Source organism: Homo sapiens, chromosome 8, assembly GCF_000001405.40.
Source record: "Homo sapiens chromosome 8, GRCh38.p14 Primary Assembly".
In the NCBI taxonomy this organism is placed as follows: Eukaryota; Metazoa; Chordata; class Mammalia; order Primates; family Hominidae; genus Homo; species Homo sapiens.
The window spans coordinates 118,533,273-118,560,035 of NC_000008.11; the positions used below are offsets into that span (position 1 = coordinate 118,533,273).

General features: G+C 40.5%; 1 protein-coding gene across 12 annotated transcripts in view, besides 1 other annotated feature; it reads right to left on the bottom strand.

Annotated features, from left to right (window-relative positions):
- SAMD12 (sterile alpha motif domain containing 12) overlaps positions 1–26,763 on the bottom strand; it is a 490,139-nt gene that overhangs the window by 401,448 nt on the left and 61,928 nt on the right. The window lies entirely within an intron of this gene.
- Positions 2,438–2,937: an enhancer, noted in NCBI's record as "H3K4me1 hESC enhancer chr8:119547949-119548448 (GRCh37/hg19 assembly coordinates)". NCBI's record gives its function as "activates a minimal SCP1, AML or CMV promoter by ChIP-STARR-seq in primed H9 embryonic stem cells {active_cell/tissue: H9 hESC(primed)}" and the evidence as "EXISTENCE:reporter gene assay evidence [ECO:0000049][PMID:30033119]".

Here is a 26,763-nt window from a genome sequence, read left to right on the forward strand (position 1 = left end):
GTTCTAGTTTGATTGCACTATGGTCTGAGAGACAGTTTGTTATAATTTCTGTTCTTTTATATTTGCTGAGCAGTGCTTTACTTCCAACTATGTGGTCAATTTTGGAATAAGTGTGATGTGGTGCTGAGAAGAATGTATATTCTGTTGATTTGGGGTGGAGAGTTCTGTAGATGTCTATTAGGTCCACTTGGTGCAGAGCTGAGTTCAGTTCCTGGACATCCTTATTAACTTTCTGTCTCGTTGATCTGTCTAATGTTGACAGTGGGGTGTTAAAGTCTCCCATTATTATTGTGTGGGAGTCTAAGTCTCTTTGTAGGTCTCTAAGGACTTGCTTTATGAATCTGGGTGCTCCTGTATTAGATGCATATATAATTAGGATAGTTAGCTCTTCTTGTTGAATTGATCCCTTTACCATGATGTAATGACCTTCTTTGTCTCTTTTGATCTTTGTTGGTTTAAAGTCTGTTTTATCAGAGACTAGAATTGCAACCCTTGCTTTTTTTTTTTGTTTTCCCTTTGCTTGGAGATCTTCCTCCATCCCTTTATTTTGAGCCTATGCGTGTCTCTGCATGTGAGATGGGTTTCCTGAATACAGCACACTGATGGGTCTTGACTCTTTATCCAATTTGCCAGTCTGTGTCTTTTAATTGGAGCATTTAGCCCATTTACATTTGAGGTTAACATTTTTATGTGTGAATTTGATCCTGTCGTTATGATGTTAGCTTGTTATTTTGCTTGTTAGTTGATTCAGTTTCTTCCTAGCTTCGATGGTCTTTACAATTTGGCATGTTTTTGCAGTGGCTGGTACTGGTTGTTCCTTTCCATGTTTAGTGTTTCCTTCAGGAGCTCTTTTAGGGCAGGCCTGGTGGTGACAAAATCTCTCAGCATTTGCTTGTCTGTAAAGTATTTTATTTCTCCTTCACTTATGAAGCTTAGTTTGGCTGGATATGAAATTCTGGGTTGCAAATTCTTTTCTTTAAGAATGTTGAATATTGGCCCCCACTCTCTTCTGGCTTGTAGAGTTTCTGCAGAGAGATCCGCTGTTAGTCTGATGGGCTTCCCTTTGTGGGTAACCCGACCTTGCTCTCTGGCTGCCCTTAACATTTTTTCCTTCATTTCAACTTTGGTGAATCTGACAATTATGTGTCTTGGAGTTGCTCTTCTCGAGGAGTATCTCTGTGGTGTTCTCTGTGTTTCCTGAATTTGAATGTTGGCCTGCCTTGCTGGGTTGGGGAAGTTCTCCTGGATAATATCCTGCAGAGTGTTTTCCAACTTGGTTCCATTCTCCCTGTCACTTTCAGGTACACCAATCAGACGTAGATCTTGTCTTTTCACATAGTCCCATATTTCTTGGAGGCTTTGTTCATTTCTTTTTACTCTTTTCTCTCTAAATTTCTCTTTTTGCTTCATTTCATCCATTTGATCTTCAATCACTGATACCCTGTCTTCCAGTTGATCGAATCGGCTACTGAAGCTTGTGCATGCACCATGTAGTTCTCGTGCCATGGTTTTCAGCTCCATCAGGTCATTTAAGCTCTTCTCTATGCCGTTTTTCTAGTTAGCCATTCATCCAATGTTTTTTTCAAGATTTTTAGCTTCTTTGTGATGGGTTCGAACATCCTCCTTTAGCTTGGAGAAGTTTGTTTTTACTGATATTCTGAAGCCTTCTTCTCTTAACTTGTCAAAGTCATTCTCCATCCAGCCTTGTTCCACTGCTGGCGAGGAGCTGCATTCCTTTGGAGGAGAACAGACACTCTGATTTTTAGAATTTTCAGCTTTTTGCTCTGTTTTCTCTCCATCTTTGTGGTTTTATCTACCTTTGGTCTTTGATGATGAGGTACAGATGGGGTTTTGGTGTGGATGTCCTTTCTGTTTGTTAGTTTTCCTTCTAACAGTCAGGACCCTCAGCCGCAGGTTTGTTGGAGTTTGCTGGAGGTCCACTCCAGACCCTGTTTGCCTGGGTATCACCAGTGGAGGCTGCAGAACTGCAAATACTGCAGAATGGCAAATGTTGCTGCCTGATCGTTCCTCTGGAAGCTTCGTCTCAAAGGGGCACCTGGCTGTATGAGGTGTCAGTCTGCCCCTACTGGAAGATGCCTCCCAGTTAGGCTACTCAGGGGTCAGGGACCCACTTGAGGACGCAGTCTGCCCGTTCTCAGATCTCAAACTCCATGCTGGGAGAACCACTACTCTCTTCAAAGGTGTCAGACAGGGATGTTTAAGTCTGCAGAAGTTTCTGCTTCCTTTTGTTCAGCTATGCCCTGCCCCCAGAGGTGGAGTCTACAGAGGCAGGCAGACCTCCTTGAGCTGTGGTGGGTTCCACCCAGTTCCAGCTTCCCAGCTGCTTTGTTTACCTACTCAAGCCTCAGCAATGGCGGGCGCCCCTCCCCCAGCCATGCTGCCGCCTTGCACTTCCATCTCAGACTGCTGTGCCAGCAGTGAGCAAGGCTCCATGAGCATGGGACCCTCTGAGCCAGGTGCAGGATATCATCTCCTGGTGTGGTCTTTGCTAAGACCATTGGAAAAGCGCAGTATTAGGGTTGGAGTGACCCGATTTTCCAGGTGCCTTCTGTCACGGCTCCCCTTGGCTAGGAAAGGGAATTCCCTGACCCCTTGCACTTCCCGGGTGAGGCAATTCCTTGCCCTGCTTCAGCTCATGGTCTGTGGGCTGCACCCACTGTCCTGCACCCACTGTCCAACAAACCCCAGTGAGATGAACCCAGTACCTCAGTTGGAAATGCAGAAATCACCTGTCTTCTGCGTCGCTCACGCTGGGAGCTGTAGACTGGAGCTGTTCCTATTCGGCCATCTTGGAACCTCCCCTGTACCCAAGTTAATTTCTAAGTTCTACTTTTCTGTTTCCATTCCACTAGTGATTATCCTGGTAACCATGCTAATTTTCTATTAGGATATAGGATACCAAATATGTCCTCATTCCCTGCCCACACCCCCTCTATCTGTTTTCTTTTCCCTTACAGCTTTCCTCCTCTCCTGATATAAGATAAAATCTTTAAAATGCTTTCCTTGCCTTTCTCCCTACCTGTAGATTTTACAGATACTATTTACTATTTAGTTACCTCTGTAATATATTTAAAAATACCTGGCATTATATTACAATGTTCCTTTCACTTTACTATCAGTTTAGATTGAGCTATGTAGACTGATACACAAACACACACACACACACACACACACACACACACACACACACATAAATGGATACAGAGGCCCAGACTTATGTACCTTCTGATGCGTGTTGTATGTTTTTCCACTTGAGGTTATCATGAGGCTTGCATATGATATTGCCCATTATTTTAAACTGATGACAACTTAACACTCATTGCATAAACAAACAAGCAAAGAGAAAACTAATAAAAACTATACTTTAACTTTGTTATTCCCCACCCCACTTCCATTTTTAACTTTTTGTTATTTCTACTTATATCGTATTGTACTATGTATTGAAAAGTTGTTGTAGTTATTTTTGATTGATGCATCTTTCAGTCTTTCTACTCAAGATATGAGCTTATACACCACAATTACAGTGTTATAATATTCTGTGTTTTTCTGTGTACTTACTATTAACAGTGAGTTTTGTATCTTCAGACGATTTCTTATTGCTCATTAATGTCCTTTTCTTTCAGATTAAAGATTCAAGAACTTCCCTTAGTATTTCTTGTAGGACAGGTCTGGTGTTGATGAAATCCCTCAGCTATTGTTTGTCTGGGAAAGTCTTTATTTTGCCTTCATGTTGGAAGGATATTTTTGCTGGATATACTATTCTAGGATACAAGTTTTTCCTCCTTCAGCACTTTAAATTGGTCATGCCACTCTTTCCTGGCCTGTAAGCTTTCCACTGAAAAGTCTGTTTCCAGATACATTGAAGCTCCTTTTTATATTATTTGTTTCTTTTCTCTTGGTGTTTTTAGGATCGTTTCTTTATCCTTGACCTTTGAGAGTCTGATTATTAAGTCTTGAGGTAGTCTTTGGGTCAAATCTGTTTGGTGTTCTATAACCTTCTTGTACTTGAATATTGATATCTTTCTCTAGGTTTGGGAAGTTCTCTGTTATTACCCCCTTTGAATAATATTTCTATCCCCCTCTCTCTCTATCTTCTCTTTAGGGCAATAACTCTTAGATTTGCCCCTTTGAGGCATTTTCTAGATCTTGTAGATATATTTCATTCTTTTTTATTCTTTTTCTTTTGTATCCTCTGACTGTGTATTTTCAAATAGTCTGTTTGCAGGCTCACGAATTCTTTCTTCTGCTCAATCAATTCTGCTGTTAAGGGACACTGATGCATTCTTCAGTATGTCAATTGCATTTTTCAGCTCCAAAATTTCTGCTTGATTTTTTAAAAATTATTTCAATCTCTTTATTAAATTTATCTGATAGAATTCTGAATTCCTTCTCTGTGTTATCCTGTATATGGCTGAGTTTCCTCAACACAGCGATTTTGAATTCTCTGTCTGAAAGGTCACATATCTGTTTTTAGTTACCCGGAATCGCTGTTTCTCCAGGATTGGTCCCTGGTTCCTTACTTAGTCCTTTTGTTGAGGTAATGTTTTCCTGGATTACACTGATGCTTGTCAGTGTCTGGGCATTGAAGAATTATGTCTTTATTGTAGTCTTCACAGTCTGGGCTTGTTTGTACTCATCTTTCTTGGGAAGGCTTTCCAGGTATTGGAGGGGACTTAGGTGTTGTGATCTAAGTTTTGGATCATTGCAGCCACATCTGCACTAGGGAGCACCCCAAACAAGTAATGCTGTGTTTGTTGTAGAGGTGCCACATTGGTGGTCTTGAGTAAAATCCAGAAGAATTCCCTGGATTACCAGGAAAGACCCTTATTCTCTTCCCTTACTTTCTCCCAAACAAATGGAGTTAGTCTCTGTCTGTCTGTCTGTCTGTCTGTCTGTCTCTCTTTCTCTCTCTCCCTCTCTCTGGGATTGGGGAGGGGTGGTGCAAGCACTCCCTTGGCTGCCTCAGCTATTGTCTCCCTAGGTCACATGCCCCTCAAGTCCACTGGCTACAAGCCCAGCACAGCCCTAGGACTTGCCCAAGAACTGTAGTCCTTGTGGCTTAAGCAGCCTTTCAAGTTTATTTGGGACCCCAGAGCCCTTTAGCTTACAGTGGCAGGGCTGGCCAGAACTCAGGCTCTGACCATTGGGATGGGCAATTCCCCTCCATTAGGGCTGGTTTAAATTCTCCCCTGTGGACACTGGTTGAGTTCTGCCTGGTATTGCTTTCCACTGTGACAGGGCAGCACTGAGTTCCAATGTAAAGTCCCACAATCACTGTGCTCTCCCTCTCCAAAGGGCACAGATTCTCTCTCCCCACCACATGGGCACCTCAGGGGAATGAGAGAGAAGTGGTGTAGGCAATTCAAGACTGTCTTTCCTGCCCTCTTCAGTGCCTGTTTCAGTGATATAAAGTCAAAACCAGGTACTGTCATCAACTCACTTTACTTTTGGTTCCTACGAAGGTGCTCTTTGTGTGGACAGTTGTTTAATTAGGTGTTCCTGCAGGAAGGATAATTGGTGGAAGTCTCTACTCAGCCATCCTGCTCTGCCTCCCCTGGAATTTATTTTTGTGTATAGTATATAAGGCATCTATTTGTATGTTCTTTTTTCCTCCCAAAATATCATTATCTCCATGTTGCAAATAACAAAACCAAAACTCAGAAAGGTTAGGAAATTTGCCTGATATTTCAGAGGTAGCAAATTACCTAACTAGGATATAAACCTATTGACCCTTTCTAGCAATTCAAGCCATCTCCCAAGAGTAATATGTGAGGCATTCCACATTAAAACATTATTACATTCAGCACAAACGGCCTAAAAATGTCACTCACATCTGCTGCATTGCTTTAGCAGCAAGAAGTGCCTTGGCATTGCTGATCATATATAGATATACCTGCCAAGATCTGCTTTGCATTTGCTCAGAGATGGAATCACGAAGTCCAGGAATAGAATTCCATTATTATTCAGTACCAAGTAGCTGCTATCATGAAAATTAGGAAGCCTCAAATTGACACTTTCGCTAAAGACAATTCTGTGTTCTCTTGGCTGGCATAGAACATGAGTGATAATTACCCTAGAAGAAGAGTATGGCTGACTTCTACCCAGGATCAGGAGGCTGAACTATTTTGACTCCAGCTTCAACCACCAATCCCCAGAAAATCCTGTCTTGGTACATGGAGAGTTAGCTTTAGAATTTTTTATGACATCTATCTGATTGGGCTCATAGTGGACACTCTTGGGAGTTTCTTCCTAGTCTGAAATTAATTTCTTTGCATTTGAGAATGCTGCCCATACCCCCACCCCAGAGCCACAGGGTCCTGGGGAAGAACTGCTGGTCACCATGTTTGTGTCACAGGTGGGCCACTAGCTCTCATCAGGCAATCACATTCTCTCTTTTTCAGAATTTAGAGTTGGGCATGAGGAAGTCAAGTCAGCCTCATTATACAACTAAAACTGAATAGTATAAACTCAAGTGCCATCCATGGGTGGCCATGTGCTGCCATGTGGACTGGGAAACAGAGAAGCCAGTAGCAGGGATGAAAAGGGAAAAAAGATATATGCACATAGAAGCAGAGGAAAAACCTGGAGACAGAATACTTTCTGGGTTTCTAATGACTTTCTGGTTGAGATGATGCATTTATTCAACAAATATTTACTACATACTTAATATGTGAAAGATGTTGTTTCAGATGATGGAGTACTATAGGATACCACCCCATCCTTAAAATAAGTTGTCCTTCTTTGCTTATGTTAACTGGCAGGAGTCTCTGCTTCTTATAACAAGAGACCCATAACTAACACAGGCCCAGAAACACATTAATCCTCTATCTATGAGAATCTCACACTTTCAGCTGTTCCAGATGCCAGTTCTATTTCATGGGCACTCAACCTTGTATTGTCACTCATTTTAAAAGTCTCTCTCATCATCCTAAGGTGACTCCAAATTCTTCCAGGGTAGTGGTTCTCAGTTGCCATGACACAGGTCCCCAGAGTATTATGATCAGTGATGAGGTATGTCATTAGTAATTTTTTAATTATAATAAAGTGCTAAAGTTGCCTAGTGCTTTATGATTGCTTTTTCCTGAGCAGATTCAAGGTCATCTGTAATATTGTCAGTCTCCCTTGCACTCCCATATGCTTTCTTAGTGGAAGAGAAATCTAATATATCAGCATGCAGTGAATTGTGCATAACCCTGGGTGTGTATATATACAGGGGTGTGTTGGCTATGTGAAAATCACCCCTACTGTTTGTCAAGGTTGATGGAAAGTTAAGAATCTCACAGGCTGCGTCTTTTACAGAATTCTAAACATATCAGAGGAATTAAATAAACTGCTGCTGTTGCCACTATTGATGTTACATAAAGGGGCCTTTCTGCTCCTTAAGCCTGCACCATTGCAACTGGCCATAAAAAAAAAATGCCACATATGTTCTAGGCCTTAGCTCTTGAAAATTTTTATCTCAAGCTGGAATATATGCAAAGATTGGGTAGGAGCCAAATGATAAGATCAAACAAAGGTAAGTACACTGCTGTGAAATGTCATTTTTTTGTCTTCATTCCTTTCTGATGGGACACACCCTTCCATCAGGCCATAGGATCCTGATGGGGCAGTGACTGGCCCAGAGGTGGACATGTGACCTGAGCAGGGTAAATCAGGATCCTTTTTCAGAAGATGAAATGATGCTGGGAGAGAGAACAAGAGTTTCTTAAATCTCAACTGGCAGAATTGCGTAAACCTAGAGCTATAAGGACCTGTCTTTCCCAGAGGATGAAGCCAACCAAGAAAAACTACCACATGCTGGTATGTTTCGGTACTATATTGTACCTATATTGTATACTATATTGTGTGTTATTTCATCACATCTTTATGACCCAGGAAGTAGATAGCTAGTGAGCCCACTTTTCTGATGAGGCAACTGGGGCTCTGAGTTTAAGCCACTGTCCAAAGTCATACAAGAATGAAAGAGAAGAGCAGAGATTTCAATCCATGCCTTTCTGGCTCTAAGCCTTACCCTTCCTCAAGTAAGCATAAAATATTTTATATATATTTGTAGCTAATCTGAAACTGCCTATCCACATACCTTGGGCAAGTCATTGGGCATCAGTTGACTTACACATCAGTGTTTTTAAGCTAAGAGTCAAGAAAACTCTTGTCTATAAAGGACCCAACAGTAAACATTTTAGACTTTGTGGGATATACAATCTCTGCCAAAATTACTTAAATGTGCCACTGTAGCATGAAAATAATTGTAGACAGTAGGTAAGTGACTGTGTGTGGCTATATTCCAATAAAACTTTATTTATAAAATAGCGGGAAGAGGCAGAATTTGGCCTTTCAGGAACAGTTTGCTGTTCTAAGTTATTACCATGTAATTAGATTGTAAATTCCTTATAGACAAATTTCAAATATTAAAAAAATTTTACATTATTTTATAATTTACCCATGACCAAGTACATATACATACTTATTTCAGTAACTGACAAACAAAATACACAAAGGTACGAATTGATCAAGGCAAGAAATGTGTTAACTCATGTTGACTTTGAGTATTTTCATTCTTTCTTTTTAAAATTTTTTGAGATGGAGTCTCGCTATGCTACCCAGGCTGGTCTTGAAATTCTGGCCTTAAGTGATTCTCCTGTAACAGTCTCCTGAGTAGCTGGGATTACAGATGCAAGCTATGGTGCCCAGCAATATTCTGATTCTTGAAAAGGACCGTGCCAAATATCTTAGTGGGGATAAACCAAAGAAAGGTGAGATGAGCAGGCAATCCTAGAGGGTAGGCATATGTCCTTTGAAAAGGGCAGTCTATTTTACTGCATGCAAGAATGAAAAAACTATTAAGCCAGTGAGAAATAGGCCACCCTGGCTGCATAGACAATAAGTAAGTGTCAGGGACTTCCAGATAATAGCAGGATAAGAAAACCAAATAGCAAGATAAGAGTACCAAAAAGATACTCTTTCTTTGAGATCTGTGAAGATAACTAGATCCTCTTATTCTCAATGAAAAAATAGATACATCTATTTCCATTAATTTTCCAAATAGTATTTGGTTTTGAAAATAAAATAACTATGATGAAATGTCTTAGATATAATTTAAAATATTCACAAGATCACAATATTTGCAACAAATGTGAATATTTAAAATATCGTACTAAAAATGGTATAATCTTAAATATACCTTTTAAATTCCAGTTTCTAAGGGAATGTGGTTCTAAGGGCATTTGGAGATGGGGAGAGCACTCTGATTTCAATTCCCAACATCACTGCATAAGAATGTGAGAAGCTTTCCCAGGTCTTCCAGAACCAAGAAACTAGAGAACAAGGAAAGGTAATTTTATGACAATCACTTTTATGAGATTATATATAACTAGATCCAAGTGAAAGTTAATTTCCAAACTTGTGCACATTCAGGTAATAAGCTGCCTGTAAATACCATTTAACAAAATGCATTTTATTTCTATTTTGAGGAATGATTCACCCTTGAGGGACAAAAGAATCTTGTGCATGTAAAATAAAGAACAGAACCACGGACTTCCCAAGGTTGTCTATATTTTCCTTTCTATCTACACTACCATCTTACATGCAAGGTTGTCCCTAGCCTACAGCTAAATTCCCAAGCATCTTTGCACTACAGTAGTACAAAGGAAGCCAACATAGACATAAAAGAGGGAATGGAAGAAGTGAAGGAAAGAGGGAGGCGAGAAAATAAGGAAGGAAAAAGGATGAAAGGATGAAAAAAAGGAAAAAGATGAGAAAAAATAAGAATTAAAAACACTAAAAATGAAGGAAAAGGGGGTTATCTTTGAAAGCCTAGTTCCCTCTCCAAAGAAAATTCTAAGAGGATGGGAGGAAATCGACCCTTGAAAGGTCTGTTCCACGCCCAGGGTCCTGCAGACTTGCTGACTCCCGCCTCCCGCCTCACTGTGGACATTCCCCAGAGTATGTGCACTTAGTCCTAAACCCACTTCCCACACTCACGATGCCAATTAAACCTCTTTGTGTACAACTTCCAAATCTCTTATCTCAATTACTGATCTATCTACTGGTCACTCATTCCGAGTCTCTAATTGTTGCCTAGTATTTCTCTGTAGAAGAGCTCCCTTCATTTCAAAGCCTAAAGTGATCAAACAAAAACGCACCTTTTAAAGCCAGCTTTTCTTTCCCTACTTCAGTTCACAGTGGAAACCTTAGGAATCTTGAGTCCACATCCTATGGCAAGCTTGTCCAATCCGCGGCCTGCATGTGGCCGAGGACAGCTTTAAATGTGGCCTAACACAAATTCATAAACTTTCTTAAAACATTATGAGATTTTTTTTTCTTTTCTTTCTTTCTTTCTTTTTTTTTTTTTTTTTAGCTCACCAGCTATCGTTAGCATTAGTGTATTTATGTGTGGCCCAAGACAACTCTTCTTCTTCCAGTGTCACCCAGGGAAGCCAAAAGTTTAGATACCCCTGTCCTTCACCAATAAAGTCTTCCTTCAGAATATATATTTGCATTAATTCCTCACTCCCCATTCCTTCTGACACCATTTAAAGTCTTAGGCAAGCACACATTTCTAGAATGGTCTTTATATTCACCTTTCATTCCTTTATCTCCAGGGTCTCTCCATGCCAAATAACCGGGGCTAAATGAATCTTACCCAATTATCCTTTTCACCCCACCATTCTCCTGCTAAAAAAATCTTTTGGCTCTCTCTGCATATAGAACAAAGTATAAGCTCTCGGGTCTGGTGTCCTGTCTTTCACCATCTGTTCCCAATCCACCCTACCCATCCCACCCAAAACTGAAACTCTCCATGGTTTAGGCGAGTCCGTCGGCTCTTCTCCAAATGGCAATACTCATTCCAACCTTTTCCTGGTCACATATTCAACTAAATATCATCATTTGTGTTCTAAGTATGTGGTGGCACAAAAATGAGTCATATTTCACTTTCACAATATTTTGGAATAATTTAAGTGCAAAATAATAGCTATACAAAGTTCTAAGGGCTTGGTAAAGTGAAGTAGTCTTCCACAAAAACCTTCAGAAAAGGGTGTTGAAGGATTGAAGGATGCACAATAGGGCCAAATGGAAGCAGTAGCTTGGGAAGTGGGGAAAGCACATGAGAGGTGTCTCTAGGGTTTCAGAGGTAAGAGTCACACTTACCTATAATCAGAAACAGGCCAATCAAAAGGCCTTCTTATAGTCTGGATTTTCCAAGCACAAGATGTTTAGATTTGCGAGGGCTGAAAGTCAGTCAAAGAGTGTACACGGTTGCTCCAGGGATTTCACCCCAGGTCACATTCCTTGAAAATCACACTGAAACTAAAGTACTTGATAGACATTATAGAGACCCAAGGGAAAAACCGCCAAGATTCAGAGACAGCCAAAAACCATGCAAGCAGAGGTGTCTGGCTTCCTGCTTCCTTCTCAACCTTCATTCCCTGCTAACAACTTGGAGAAAGTTCAGTCAGTAGCTCTCATCTCACCACACCACTATTTCTTCAGCACATCCTCCAACTCTGCCTCCCTACAATTTCAGAAACATTAAGGTGAAAGGATGAGGAAACATGTTAGTTTTCTTGAGAACATTCTATGTGCCAGGCATTGTGCTAGGTGCTTCGACATATAACGAAGAGAAGAAGAAATTAAATATAAAAAGGCAAAGTAGTGACTGGAAGTTAAAGCCAACAGCAGACGAATGAGATCACTGGTTTTCAAATTGTTTCACACTAGCTGCAACAGAACCCTCTAGGGCAACTGATAAAATGCCAGTGCCCAGGCCTCAGTCAAATAACTACAAGTCGGTAGACCTTGGATGAGGTCCAAAACTATATAAATATGTGTGTGTGCATGTATACACATGCATGTATAAACATGCACACATATATTTTAAAACAAGAACCCCAGGCCAGGCACAGTGGCTCACACCTGTAATCCCAACACTCTGGGAGGCCGAAGTAGGTGGATTACCTGAGGTCAGAAAGTGGAGACCAGCCTGGCTAACACGGTGAAATCTCATCTCCACTAAAAATACAAAAATTAGCCAGGTGTAGTGGCAGGCACCTGTAATCCCAGCTACTGGGGAGGCTGAGGCAGGAGAATCGCTTGAGCCTGGGAGGCAGAGGTTGCAGTGAACCAAGATCGTGCCATTACACTCCAGCCTGGGTGACAAGAGTGAGAGTCCATCTCAAAAACAAAACAAAACAAAAAACAAGAATCCCAGGCAATTCTAAACACCACACAGGTATTTATGCATAGGTCATCATTAGGACTCCTGAATTAGGGTATCTACTTCTTCAAAACACCATAGTCTTCGCCCAAAGTGGAGGAAAGAGAAAGAGATAACATACTTCAATGAATCTTGATGAACCCAAGACATCATTATTTTACATTTTCCTTAGGAATAGAAAAGAAAAAACATACTGGCAATGAAATCATAATATGCAAGCAACTGTAAGATGCCTCCCAATTTCGGAAATGTTAAAAGGTTTAAAAATTATGCATCTTTGAACAGATGAAATATAGTTAACATGTGTCAAGCTTCCACTAGAGTCTTGGTTAATCTGTGGTTACATGCCTGGCAGGTGGGATGAAATTCCCTGAGTTACATAGCTAGTGAGAGACCGAGCTGATTGTTCCCAACTGCAAAGCCAGAGCCCAGGTACTGCCTTCAGTTACTCCACAGAGCTTATGTGAGTGGTCGAGCTCCAAAACCGGGACCCTTAACCTCTGTCACATACCTCTCCATGGAGCACATGTAAAACATTTAGAATAGTTCGTGGCACAAAGCAAGCTCCAAACAAATGCCATCATTCCTGCCTTCACACAGCTTGCAGTGCAGCGAGAAACCCAGGTGTGATGAGAAGAAAAGCACAGGGTACTATCAGAGAATAGAATAAGGGGACTAAACCAAGCCTTAGGTGGTCAGGCAAGGCTCCTGGACCAATTAACATTTAAGCCAAGACCTGGACAATGTTGAGTAGCACTTAGCATTAAATGAAGAGGTGGAATTGGGAGGGGTTTCTGTAAATCCCAGCCCTGATGTGAAAAGAAGAGCATTATTCTGCTCTCAACCAGAGATAACACTGAATCCAACATTTTTTCCTGGCAGCCCACCCGAGCTTTGTCCATAGGATTCTTATCAGCTTCCAAGGTCGAGAAGGGGCCCACCGGGAGGGGAGGCAAACTTGAATCTCACTGGCTGTCAAGGGAACAGATCAACAGATCTGCTTTCAGGGCAGATGGCAATGGAGCAATAAATTAGCCCTATAAAATACTTTAAATTTAAATGTTTAATCTCTGTTAATTACAATGAGACATTTCTAGAAGATTTTTTTAATAGCAGGCAAACCACAATTACAATGTTGAACTCACTGGAAAGCCCCGCTGCACCTCTCTAACCCCGCATTCCTCCATTTAGGCACTTCAACTTGTTACATTTGGGAATAGCTTTATTATTCAAGGTGATGATGTCAGCCTCCACAGATCTGCAATATGGGGTGGGACAGAAGGAATGCATTACACAGACTCATTGGGAACTGAGCCCAGCAAACACTTGGTGCCTGGAAGAGAACAGAAGGCCACATCAGTTTGCTTTACAGTAGGCTCCTAGCAAACACAAAACCAAATTCAGGCATTTAATTAAGGATACAAAGATTTCCCTCATCCAAGATCACTGAAAACCATTTTTCTTTTCTTTCTTAAAAGAAGGACAAAAGCCATACTGAAAAAGAATGTTTACAGAATATTCAGACTTTTGCTTGAGACTCATTCAGGAGTAAAGAAATAGAAGCTCCAAGTTAGGTAACAGATAAACGCAGAGATGGCAAATATTACAGAATCTAACCTGTGAATACTGAAAGATTAGTGCGAGCTTGCCACTCGTGACCAGGGAAAAAGTTTTACAACAGCATGTTCCACAGGCACGTCTTTTTTAAAAAAAATGTAGCAGCAAACACCTATGAGTCTGCTGAAATTCTCTGGACAACCTCTTTCCTGTTCCCTGCACCTGAATGTCCATCGCCAATTTGTTGGCCAAATCAAGAATGACTTCAGTGAGGCTTTTTTTTTGGTGTCCTTTGAGTAAGGCTAGTTTCTCCCCTCTGTTATCCCCAGCCTGGTCCCTAGAACATACTTCTCTTACTGTAGATAAAGTATTGGGTTGTAATTAATCATTTACACTTCCCTTGCCCCACTAGACTAACTGACCAAGGGCCAAATCCACATCTCATTTACCCAAAGATTCTTGCACCTTACACAGTACTTAGCACAAGTAAGTGTACAATACAGGTTGGGCAAAGTATTAACTGAGCAATGATCTATCCACACTGCTGTCTGCTAAGAGAACTCCAGTCTTTATGGGTTTCTTGAAAGGTAGGGTGAGAGCATACTGAATCACACTCACAGATTATTATAGTATACATCCCAAACTTTGGTCATTTCTAACTTTTTTCTATACCATATAAAATATGTATTTTTCTAGTATTTTTCTTTAAAGTAATTCCCTTTGTTAGTTTTCACCTTGTCCTAAGAAATAACCACAGAAAACCAGATTTGATGTGTTAATTCTATTTTTTTCAAATATACAAAATGTTAAATTACTAAATCAAACACTGTTCATCCTCACACGACCTCCAACCTTCTGGCATATAGTGATAGAGGGGTACATGTAACACACTTGAGGACATCCTGGATTAATAAAATATTCAAGCTGAAAAGGTCACTCGAGGTTACCAAACCCAACTCTTCATAAACAGAGAAGGAAACCACAGCCCAGGAGGACCTTATTTCTTTCTCAACTCATGAAGAAATTAGTGAGAGAATAGACAAAGAATGAAATTACACAGAGAATGGACAAGCATCCAGGGCCTCAAGTTCCCATGTTAGTGCTTTTGCTCTGACAACTGGGACAAATATGAGCAACAGACAAAAGCTGTAACATATAGCAAATATGTTCACGATATTTTAAAAGATACCCTTTTATAAAAACACTGGAAGAAAACAAAACAGGCTCCAGTGGGGTAATAGATATATGATTCCTTCCCTTTCCAAATTTCCTAATAACTTACAATGTGTTCATAATACCCTTTACACTAAAAACACACATACACACACACACACACACACACACACACACACACACACACCCCATGTGATGGGTAACTTAATGTGTTAACTTGGTTAAGTTATGGTGTCTAGTTGTTTGGTCAAATGTGTCTAGATGTTACTCTAAAGGTATTTGTTAACATCTACAACTGGAGGGGAGGAGCCAAGATGGCCGAATAGGAACAGCTCCAGTCTACAGCTCCCAGCGTGAGCGACGCAGAAGACGGGTGATTTCTGCATTTTCATCTGAGGTACCGGGTTCATCTCACTAGGGAGTGCCAGAGAGTGGGCGCAGGTCAGTGGGTGCAGCGCACCGTGCGCGAGCCGAAGCAGGGCGAGGCATTGCCTCACTCGGGAAGTGCAAGGGGTCAGGGAGTTCCCTTTCCTAGTCAAAGAAAGGGGTGACAGACGGCACCTGGAAAATCGGGTCACTCCCACCCACATACTGTGCTTTTCCGACAGACTTAAAAAATGGTGCACCACGAGATTATATCCCGCACCTGGCTTGGAGGGTCCTACGCCCACGGAGTCTCCCTGATTGCTAGCACAGCAGTCTGAGATCAAAGTGCAAGGCGGCAGCCAGGCTGGGGGAGGGGCGCCCGCCATTGCGCAGGCTTGCTTAGGTAAACGAAGCAGCCAGGAAGCTGGAACTGGGTGGAGCCCACCACAGCTCAAGGAGGCCTGCCTGCCTCTGTAGGCTCCACCTCTGGGGGCAGGGCACAGACAAACAAAAAGACAACAGTAACCTCTGCAGACTGAAATGTCCCTGTCTGACAGCTTTGAAGAGAGCAGTGGTTCTCCCAGCACACAGCTGGAGATCTGAGAACGGGCAGACTGCCACCTCAAGTGGGTCCCTGACCCCTGACCCCCGAGCAGCCTAACTGGGAGGCACCCCCCAAGTAGGGGCAAACTGACACCTCACACAGCCAGGTACTCCTCTGAGACAAAACTTCCAGAGGAAATATCAGACAGCAGCATTCGTGGTTCACGAAAAACCACTGTTCTGCAGACACCGCTGCTGATAACCAGGCAAACAGGGTCTGGAGTGGACCTCTAGCAAACTCCAACAGACCTGCAGCTGAGGGTCCTGTCTGTTAGAAGGAAAACTAACAAACAGAAAGGACATCCACACCAAAAACCCATCTGTATATCTCCATCATCAGAGGCCAAAAGTAGATAAAACCACAAAGATGGGGAAAAAACAGAGCAGAAAAACTGGAAACTCTAAAAAGCAGAGCACCTCTCCTCCTCCAAAGGAACGCAGTTCCTCACCAGCAATGGAACAAAGCTGGACGGAGAATGACTTTGACAAGTTGAGAGAAGAAGGATTCAGACGATCAAACTACGAGCTACAGGAAGAAATTCAAACCAAAGGTAAAGAAGTTAAAAACTTTGAAAAAAATTTAGACGAATGTATAACTAGAATAACCAATACAGAGAAGTGCTTAAAGGAACTGATGGAGCTGAAAGCCAAGGCTCCAGAACTACATGAAGAATGCAGAAGCCTCAGGAGCCGATGCGATCAACTGGAAAAAAGGGTATCAGCAATGGAAGATGAAATGAATGAAATGAAGCGAGAAGGGAAGTTTAGGGAAAAAAGAATAAAAAGAAATGAACAAAACCTCCAAGAAATATGGGACTATGTGAAAAGACCAAATCTACGACTGATTGGTGTACCTGAAAGTGACAGGGAGAATGGAACCAAGCTGGAAAACACTCTGCAGGATATTATCCAGGAGAGCTTCCCCAACCCAGCAAGGCAGGCCAACATTCAGATTCAGGAAACACAGAGAACGCCACAAAGATACTCCTTGAGAAGAGCAACTCCAAGACACATAATTGTCAGATTCACCAAAGTTGAAATGAAGGAAAAAATGTTAAGGGCAGCCAGAGAGCAAGGTCGGGTTACCCACAAAGGGAAGCCCATCAGACTAACAGTGGATCTCTCTGCAGAAACCCTACAAGCCAAAAGAGAGTGGGGGCCAATATTCAACATTCTTAAAGAAAAGAATTTGCAACCCAGAATTTCATATCCAGCCAAATTAAGCTTCATAAGTGAAGGAGAAATAAAATACTTTACAGACAAGCAAATGCTGAGAGATTTTGTCACCAGCAGGCCTGCCCTAAAAGAGCTCCTGAAGGAAGCACTAAACATGGAAAGGAACAACCGGTACCAGCCGCTGCAAAATCATGCCAAAATGTAAAGACCATCAAGACTAGGAAGAAACTACATCAACTAACGAGCAAAATAACCAGCTAACATCATAATGACAGGTTCAAATTCACACATAACAATATTAACTTTAAATGTAAATGGACTAAATGCTCCAATTAAAAGACACAGACTGGCAAATTGGATAAAGAGTCAAGACCCATCAGTGTGTTGTATTCAGGAAACCCATCTCACATGCAGAGACACACATAGGCTTAAAATAAAAGGATGGAGGAAGATCTACCAAGCAAATGGAAAACAAAAAAAGGCAGGGTTTGCAATCCTAGTCTCTGATAAAACAGACTTTAAACCAACAAAGATCAAAAGAGACAAAGAAGGCCATTACATAATGGTAAAGGGATCAATTCAACAAGAAGAGCTAACTATCCTAAATATATATGCACCCAATACAGGAGCACCCAGATTCATAAAGCAAGTCCTGAGTGACCTACAAGGAGACTTAGACCACACATTAATAATGGGAGACTTTAACACCCCACTGTCAACATTAGACAGATCAACGGGACAGAAAGTCAACAAGGATACCCAGGAATGGAAATCAGCTCTGCACCAAGCAGACCTAATAGACATCTACAGAACTCTCCACCCCAAATCAAGAGAATATACATTTTTTTCAGCACCACACCACACCTATTCCAAAACTGAACACATAGTTGGAAGTAAAGCTCTCCTCAGCAAATGTAAAAGAACAGAAATTATAACAAACTGTCTCTCAGACCATAGTGCAATCAAACTAGAACTCAGGATTAAGAATCTCACTCAAAACCGCTCAACTACATGGAAACTGAACAACCTGCTCCTGAATGACTACTGGGTACATAACGAAATGAAGGCAGAAATAAAGATGTTCTTTGAAACCAACGAGAACAAAGACACAACATACCAGAATCTCTGGGACACATTCAAAGCAGTGTGTAGAGGGAAATTTATAGCAGTAAATGCCAACAAGAGAAAGCAAGAAAGATCCAAAATTGACACCCTAACATCACAACTAAAAGAACTAGAAAAGCAAGAGCAAACACATTCAAAAGCTAGCAGAAGGCAAGAAATAACTAAAATCAGAGCAGAACTGAAGGAAATAGAGACACAAAAAACCCTTCAAAAAATTAATGAATCCAGGAGCTGGTTTTTTGAAAGGATCAACAAAATTGATAGACCGCTAGCAAGACTAATAAAGAAAAAAAGAGAGAAGAATCAAACAGATGCAATAAAAAATGATAAAGGGGATATCACCACCGATCCCACAGAAATACAAACTACCATCAGAGAATACTACAAATACGTCTACGCAAATAAACTAGAAAATCTAGAAGAAATGGATAAATTCCTCGACACATACACTCTCCCAAGACTAAACCAGGAAGAAGTTGAATCTCTGAATAGACCAATAACAGGAGCTGAAATTGTGGCAATAATCAATAGCTTACCAACCAAAAAGAGTCCAGGACCAGATGGATTCACAGCCGAATTCTACCAGAGGTACGAGGAGGAACTGGTACCATTCCCTCTGAAACTATTCCAATCAATAGAAAAAGAGGGAATCCTCCCTAACTCATTTTATGAGGCCAGCATCATCCTGATACCAAAGCCGGGCAGAGACACAACAAAAAAAGAGAATTTTAGACCAATATCCTTGATGAACATTGATGCAAAAATCCTCAATAAAATACCGGCAAACCGAATCCAGCAGCACATCAAAAAGCTTATCCACCATGATCAAGTGGGCTTCATCCCTGGGATGCAAGGCTGGTTCAATATATGCAAATCAATAAATGTAATCCAGCATATAAACAGAACCAAAGACAAAAACCACATGGTTATCTCAATAGATGCAGAAAAGGCCTTTGACAAAATTCAACAACCCTTCATGCTAAAAACTCTCAATAAATTAGGTATTGATGGGACGACGTATTTCAAAATAATAAGAGCTATCTATGACAAACCCACAGCCAGTATCATATTGAATGGGCAAAAACTGGAAGCATTCCCTTTGAAAACTGGCACAAGACAGGGATGCCCTCTCTCACCACTCCTATTCAATGTAGTGTTGGAAGTTCTGGCCACGGCAATTAGGCAGGAGAAGGAAATAAAGGGTATTCAATTAGGAAAAGAGGAAGTCAAATTGTCCCTGTTCACAGATGACATGATTGTATCTCTAGAAAACCCCATTGTCTCAGCCCAAAATCTCCTTAAGCTGATAAGCAACTTCAGCAAAGTCTCAGGATACAAAATCAATGTACAAAAATCACAAGCATTCTTATACACCAATAACAGACAAACAGAGAGCCAAATCATGAGTGAACTCCCATTCACAATTGCTTCAAAGAGAATAAAATACCTAGGAATCCAACTTACAAGGGACATGAAGGACCTCTTCAAGGAGAACTGCAAACCACTGCTCAAGGAAATAAAAGAGGATACAAACAAATGGAAGAACATTCCATGCTCATGGATAGGAAGAATCAATATCGTGAAAATGGCCATACTGCCCAAGGTAATTTACAGATTCAATGCCATCCCCATCAAGCTACCAATGACTTTCTTCACAGAATTGGAAAAAACTACTTTAAAGTTCATATGGAACCAAAAAAAAGCCCACATCGCCAAGGCAATCCTAAGCCAAAAGAACAAAGCTGGAGGCATCACGCTACCTGACTTCAAACTATACTACAAGGCTACAGTAACCAAAACAGCATGGTACTGGTACCGAAACAGAGATATAGATCAATGGAACAGAACAGAGCCCTCAGAAATAACGCCGCATATCTACAACTATCTGATCTTTGACAAACCTGAGAAAAACAAGAAATGGGGAAAGGATTCCCTATTTAATAAATGGTGCTGGGAAAACTTGCTAGCCATATGTAGAAAGCTGAAACTGGATCCCTTCCTCACACCTTATACAAAAATCAATTCAAGATGGATTAAAGACTTAAACATTAGACCTAAAACCATAAAAACCCTAGAAGAAAACCTAGGCATTACCATTCAGGACATAGGCATGGGCAAGGACTTCATGTCTAAAACACCAAAAGCAATGGCAACAAAAGCCAAAATTGACAAATGGGATCTAATTAAACTAAAGAGCTTCTGCACAGCAAAAGAAACTGCCATCAGAGTGAACAGGCAACCCACAAAATGGGAGAAACTTTTCGCAACCTACTCATCTGACAAAGGGCTAATATCCAGAATCTACAATGAACTCAAACAAATTTACAAGAAAAAAACAAACAACCCCATCAAAAAGTGGGCGAAGGACATGAACAGACACTTCTCAAAAGAAGACATTTATGCAGCCAAAAAACACATGAAAAAATGCTCACCATCACTGGCCATCAGAGAAATGCAAATCAAAACCACAGTGAGATATCATCTCACACCAGTTAGAATGGCAATCATTAAAAAGTCAGGAAACAACAGGTGCTGGAGCGGATGTGGAGAAATAGGAACACTTTTACACTGTTGGTGGGACTGTAAACTAGTTCAACCATTGTGGAAGTCAGTGTGGTGATTCCTCAGGGATCTAGAACTAGAAATACCATTTGACCCAGACATCCCATTACTGGGTATATACCCAAAGGCCTATAAATCAGGCTGCTATAAAGACACATGCACACGTATGTTTATTGCGGCACTATTCACAATAGCAAAGACTTGGAACCAACCCAAATGTCCAACAATGATAGAATGGATTAAGAAAATGTGGCACATATACACCATGGAATACTATGCAGCCATAAAAAATGATGAGTTCATGTCCTTTGTAGGGACATGGATGAAATTGGAAATCATCATTCTCAGTAAACTATCGCAAGAACAAAAAACCAAACACCGCATATTCTCATTCATAGGTGGGAATTGAACAATGAGAACACATGGACACAGGAAGGGGAACATCACACTCTGGGGACTGCTGTGGGGTTGGGGGAGGGATAGCATTGGGAAATATACCTAATGCTAGATGACGAGTTACTGGGTGCAGCGCACTAGCATGTCACATATATACATATGTAACTAACCTGCACATTGTGCACATGTACCCTAAAACTTAAAGTATAATAATAATAAAAAAGAACTAAAAAAAAAAAATCTACAACCAATTGACTTTAAAGCAGATTACCCTTTATGATATGGGTGGGTCTCGCCCAATCAGTTGAAGGCCTCAAAAGCAAAGACAAGTTTCCCAAAGAAAGAATTCTGCCTTAAGACTGCAACATAGAAATCCTGCCTGAGTTTCCAGACAGCATGCCTGTCCTATGAATTTCAGACACGTCAACCACATGAGCCAATTTTTTAAATTAGTCTTTCAATAGAAAGACAGATTTAGATTTGGATTTCTAACTCCTCTGTTTCTCTGGAGAACCCTGAGTAATATGCCATATTTTTCCATGTTTGTGCATTTGGGAGAAAGGCATTTACACCTCAAGATGACCAGTTAGGGGTTTGGAAAGAAAATAAAGGAAAATAATAATTCAACAACCACAAAAGGGGTAATATCCATCTGTTATTGGTTAGCAGAGCAAATGTGAGAATAAAACAAAGTAAGCCACACACAGCGTACCTCCTCACATCCATTAATTATAAATTAGTTTTTACAAAAATCTTTTCAGGGAACATACTGAAGAATTCCTTTCCTGATGTTGTTTATGTTTACACTTGATTCCCGTTCTTTGTTTTCTTTAAATCGCTAATAAAACAACTAAAACACTCCTAGCCAAGTTTCACAGTTTTCTCATGGTATTTTTCTCTCTTTTTGAGTGGGTGCCAGAAAAACAGATACTGAATTCATCTCCCTAAAACAACAGTACTCCTCCTCTCCATTTCCCCTACAAATGAAGCCAGCAGGATTTCTCCTAGTGCATCACTTTGTGTTATTGATATGCAACAACAGGCTTATCTTCCTCCACACTATCCCAGGGACACTACATACAAAGCCTTTTGTTAATGAATCAAAGAAGCCAATGAATTCTATAGCCCATAGTGACAACCAAATCAATATTTAAAAAATATTCATATCATAAAATTTAAATAAGAGGTCTGTTCCACTCTGCAAATCAGCACATTATAAATCTCCATGTTTCTATTAAATAATCTGTAGTGCCAATGAATTGCAGACCAGCTCCTGGCTCTGTTGTATGTTTATCATTACACTTCCTGAATAGAGAAACAAACCATCAGAAAGTATTTATTATACTGTAGACAACTCAACCACAACCAATGAAGCCTCTTTCCAACTGCAATGTAAAATTGGGTAATAGTTACAATTGGATCCTTGAGGAGTGTGTCAATTTGCACTTAGTAAAGTGAATTTTGAGGCACAATTACCAGTCCTTGGTATTTGGTGCTTTCCAGTGACTATCCTTATCGTTAGTGATGTTCTATTAAACTGGCTTAGAAAAAAGAAGAGGAATAAGTCACATCCTGAGAATGGGGAACTGGAGAATGCCAGGGCAAAATACTTATGGACAGAGCACTGAACAAAGGTCTGGAATTTACATTTGGAGTCCTCACTCTTATGCCTCACCTGCATTCTCATCATTAAAATGTAAGGAACAGAAATCTATCAACCAGTGACCTTAATAAACAAGTGTCAAAGATTTAAATGGAAAACAATCCCACTTAGTATATGATTCTTTTGTATTCTCAATAATCCAATGTTCATCTTTTTAAATTCTAGAACTGAAAATGCCACCCCTATACTCTCAGCATGGTCTTCTAGAATTGCTAATATGGCCATGATGTATTGAACGAAGGGTGGCATTCTTCATGACTCATGAGACAGAACTGGTCAGGACCCTTTTGTATATATCACTTATGAATCACAATATTTTAGACATTTTGACCTACCTTTTCCAACTGGCAAATGACATGTTACATAAGTCCTTTTGGCTATCACCAATAAGTAATTTTGGGGCTCCAAGATTCTTTGAATTGCAATTGTCAATATAATTTATATGTTATTTTCAGAATCTAATAAGTGTGATGGTGCTGATAGCCAGAGATAACAAAGCCACACAGAGTTTATCCTCAAGAAACTCACAATCTGGTGATAGAAATAGACATGGGGGCTGGGTGCGGTGGCTCATGCCTGTAATCCCAGTACTTTGGGAGGCCGAGGCGGGCGAATCACAAATTCAGGAGTTTGAGACCAGCCTGGCCAGCATGGTGAAACCCCGTCTCTACTAAAGATACAAAAAATTGGCTGGGTGTGGTGGCAGCTGCCTGTAATCCCAACTACTTGGGAGGATGAGGCAGGAGAATCACTTGAGCCTGGGATGCAGAGGTTGCAGTGAGCCGAGATCATGCCACCACACTCCAGCCCAGGCGACAGTGCGAGACTCCATCTCAAAAAAAAAAGAAAGAAAGAAAGAAAGAAAGAAATAGACATGGGTCCACCTACTCATGACATAAGGGCCATAACAGAGGAACAAGCAAAGAGTGAGGGAATGATATGGCTTGGCTCTACATCCCCACCCAAATCTCATCTCAAATTGTAATGCCGGTAATCCCTACATGTCAAGGGAAGGACCGGGTGGGAGGTGATTGGATCACTGGGGGCTTTTCCCCCCATGCTGTTCTAGTGATAGTGAGTTCTCAAGAGACCTGATGGTTTATAAGGCAGTTTTCCCTGCTCTTGCTTGCTCTGTCTCTCCTGCTGCCATGTAAGACATGCCTCTTCCCCGCCTATCATGACTGTAAGTTTCCTAAGGCCTTCACAGCCATGCAGAACTGTGAGTTAATTAAACTTCTTTTCTATATAAATTACTCAGTCTTGGGTAGTATCTTTATAGCTGTGTGAGAACAGACTAATACAGGGGACATTTAGGAAGGTTCATTTTGATTGGGGTTGGAGTAGATCTGAGAAGCTTTTATAAAGAAAAAGAGCATCTGAAATGAGTCTTTAAAGATGACCTCAACTACGGTAGGTAGGAAAGGGCAGAAGGTATATCTGAGTCCAAAGACACATTGTGACCTGAGTTCTAGTGGTACACAGACTTTTTCATGTAGCTAATATGTATATTTGCATCTTTGTGGTTTCATTCAAATTTGTCAAATTTTGAGATTATAACTAATGAAATTCAAGATCTTTTAAAAACAGAAACAAAACATTTCAAACACAAGGACCTTTGTAAAGCCTGTGCTCTCCATATTACCCTGCCTCTAGAAATAAAATCCTAACATTGTTGTTTATAAATTTTAGCATGTTCCTGTAACTTCTATTTATATACACTCATATTTTCTACCTTTTTAAGCTTAGCATAAATATAATGTTTCATATATTATTCTACAACTGTCAAAATAGGTTGAGACCAACCTATTTTGAGTCAGATAACTCTAGTTCAATAATTTTAACTAATATTTAGTATTCTTGCATGAATAAAACAATCCACTTATCTGGTCTTCTACTCATGAAAATTTCATTTATTCTTTACTATTTTTGCCATTACAAATAATTCTACAATTAACATCTCTGTAAATATCTTCTTTCCCATATAAAAAGTATATCTACGCAAGTGGGATCTCTAGGTTATAGCATATTTATCTTTAGTTTTGTCACCTGAAACTTTTTGCCTTGTATGCACAAGAAGAATGTATATTTTTTAGTTGTTAGTTCAGGGTTCTAACTTTGCCCAATAAATCAAGATTCTTTATTTTGTTATTCATATTTTCTTTATGTGGTCTACCTAGGTCTCAAATACTAAGGAAGTTAATACTTTCTTCTATGATTGTAAATTTGTGAATTTTTCCATTCAATTTATTTATACATTTTGAGGCTATTTTATTAGGTGTATGGAACTTTAGAATTGTTACATCTTACCAGTAAGATATAACATCTTGATAATATCTATTCTTATATATTGGCAAGGATGCACTGCTAGACCACATACAATCCATGGGGTCTGAGACAGTGACACTGAGCTAAGACTTTTGTTTTTGTTTTTTTTGTTTGTTTGTTTTTGAGACAGAGTCTGATTCTGTCTCCCAGGCTGGAGTGCAGTGGCACGATCCTGGCTCACGGCAAGCTCCACCTCCCAGGTTCACGCCATTCTCCTGCCTCAGCCTCCCGAGTAGCTGGGACTACAGGCGCGTGCCACCACGCCCGGCTAATTTTTTGTATTTTTAGTAGAGACGGGTTTCACTGTGTTAGCCAGGATGATCTCGATCTCCTGACCTCGCGATCCACCCGCCTCAGCCTCCGAAAGTGCTGGGATTACAGGCGTGAGCCACCGCGCCCGGCCGACACTGAGCTAAGACTTCATGAAGAAGTGGATCAGGCTTGAGGCTCAAGTGCTAGCAAACTCATGCTGTTCGTTGTTCAACCAGACTTGTCAGGAATAGAAATTCTGACTCATAGCTGCCTGACTCAATACTTTAAATTTTAGTTGGGTCCCAATTCAGGGGGAGAAAAAATGAGAGATATTTAATGATTCTATAATATCTCAAAAGGATTCCCTCCAGAGTGGATTTTGGTTCTGGCATCTGTCCCAAGGCTATCACTAGCACAACACAAATTTAGGAATTATTCAGCTTATAGATCCTGGAGTGCATAGGAAGACAGGTACATGAACTCAAGTTTTTCCAGGAAGACCCTTTTTTCCCCCCTACCTAGAACCCAGATTAAGACAGATAAAGTTACTTTTGCTTTCCTGTACTCAAGGGCAGACTCTTTAGATCATTCTTTCCCATAGAATACAGTCCTCTGAGAGTTCCTATTTTATGCAGGGATGGCAGTTCCAACTGTCCCACCTCCAACCACAAATGAGTATTAACACCTAATATCAGCCCTCTAGCAAGGGCTCCACAGGGCAGTCCCACATATCTACCTCTCTGATTTGCAGTTTCCTTTTTGTTTTGAGCATCTGTTGACTTGCTTTACATCCCTACAAGGCTCATCATACACTTATTAGGATTTTTATTTTATCTAGCATTTCTTGAACTTGTAGTGGGAGGGCTTTTAGCTTATCTCTTGTGCAATTCTGCCAGAACTAGAGGTGGGGACATATGTGACATGCACTTGGAACAGCACCTGGTCTCTGATAACTGCTACAAGTGTTTGCTGTAATTAAAAACATTCTCTCCTCTTCTCTTCTTTGTGTAGAAGTTAGGTGACATGCATAGAAAATCTAGTGTGTAACACTTACTGAATGGTTATACAAAATTATGCATTTTAAAATTAAAATATATTCCTGTATAGAAATCTAATGGGGTGTTGTAAAAATTCAATTTGAAATTGATTATGTGCTCTTTGTTGACAGGGGTGATGCCAATAAACAAAATATTTTTATTTAAAAATACACATTTAAAAATAAAGTTTCAAAAATAATGTAAAACTAAAACTATATCAGAAACAGTTAAAGAAGATTCAGGAATCTAATGCTTTTTGGGAGTCATTATGTATATTTATGATAAAAGGAGCA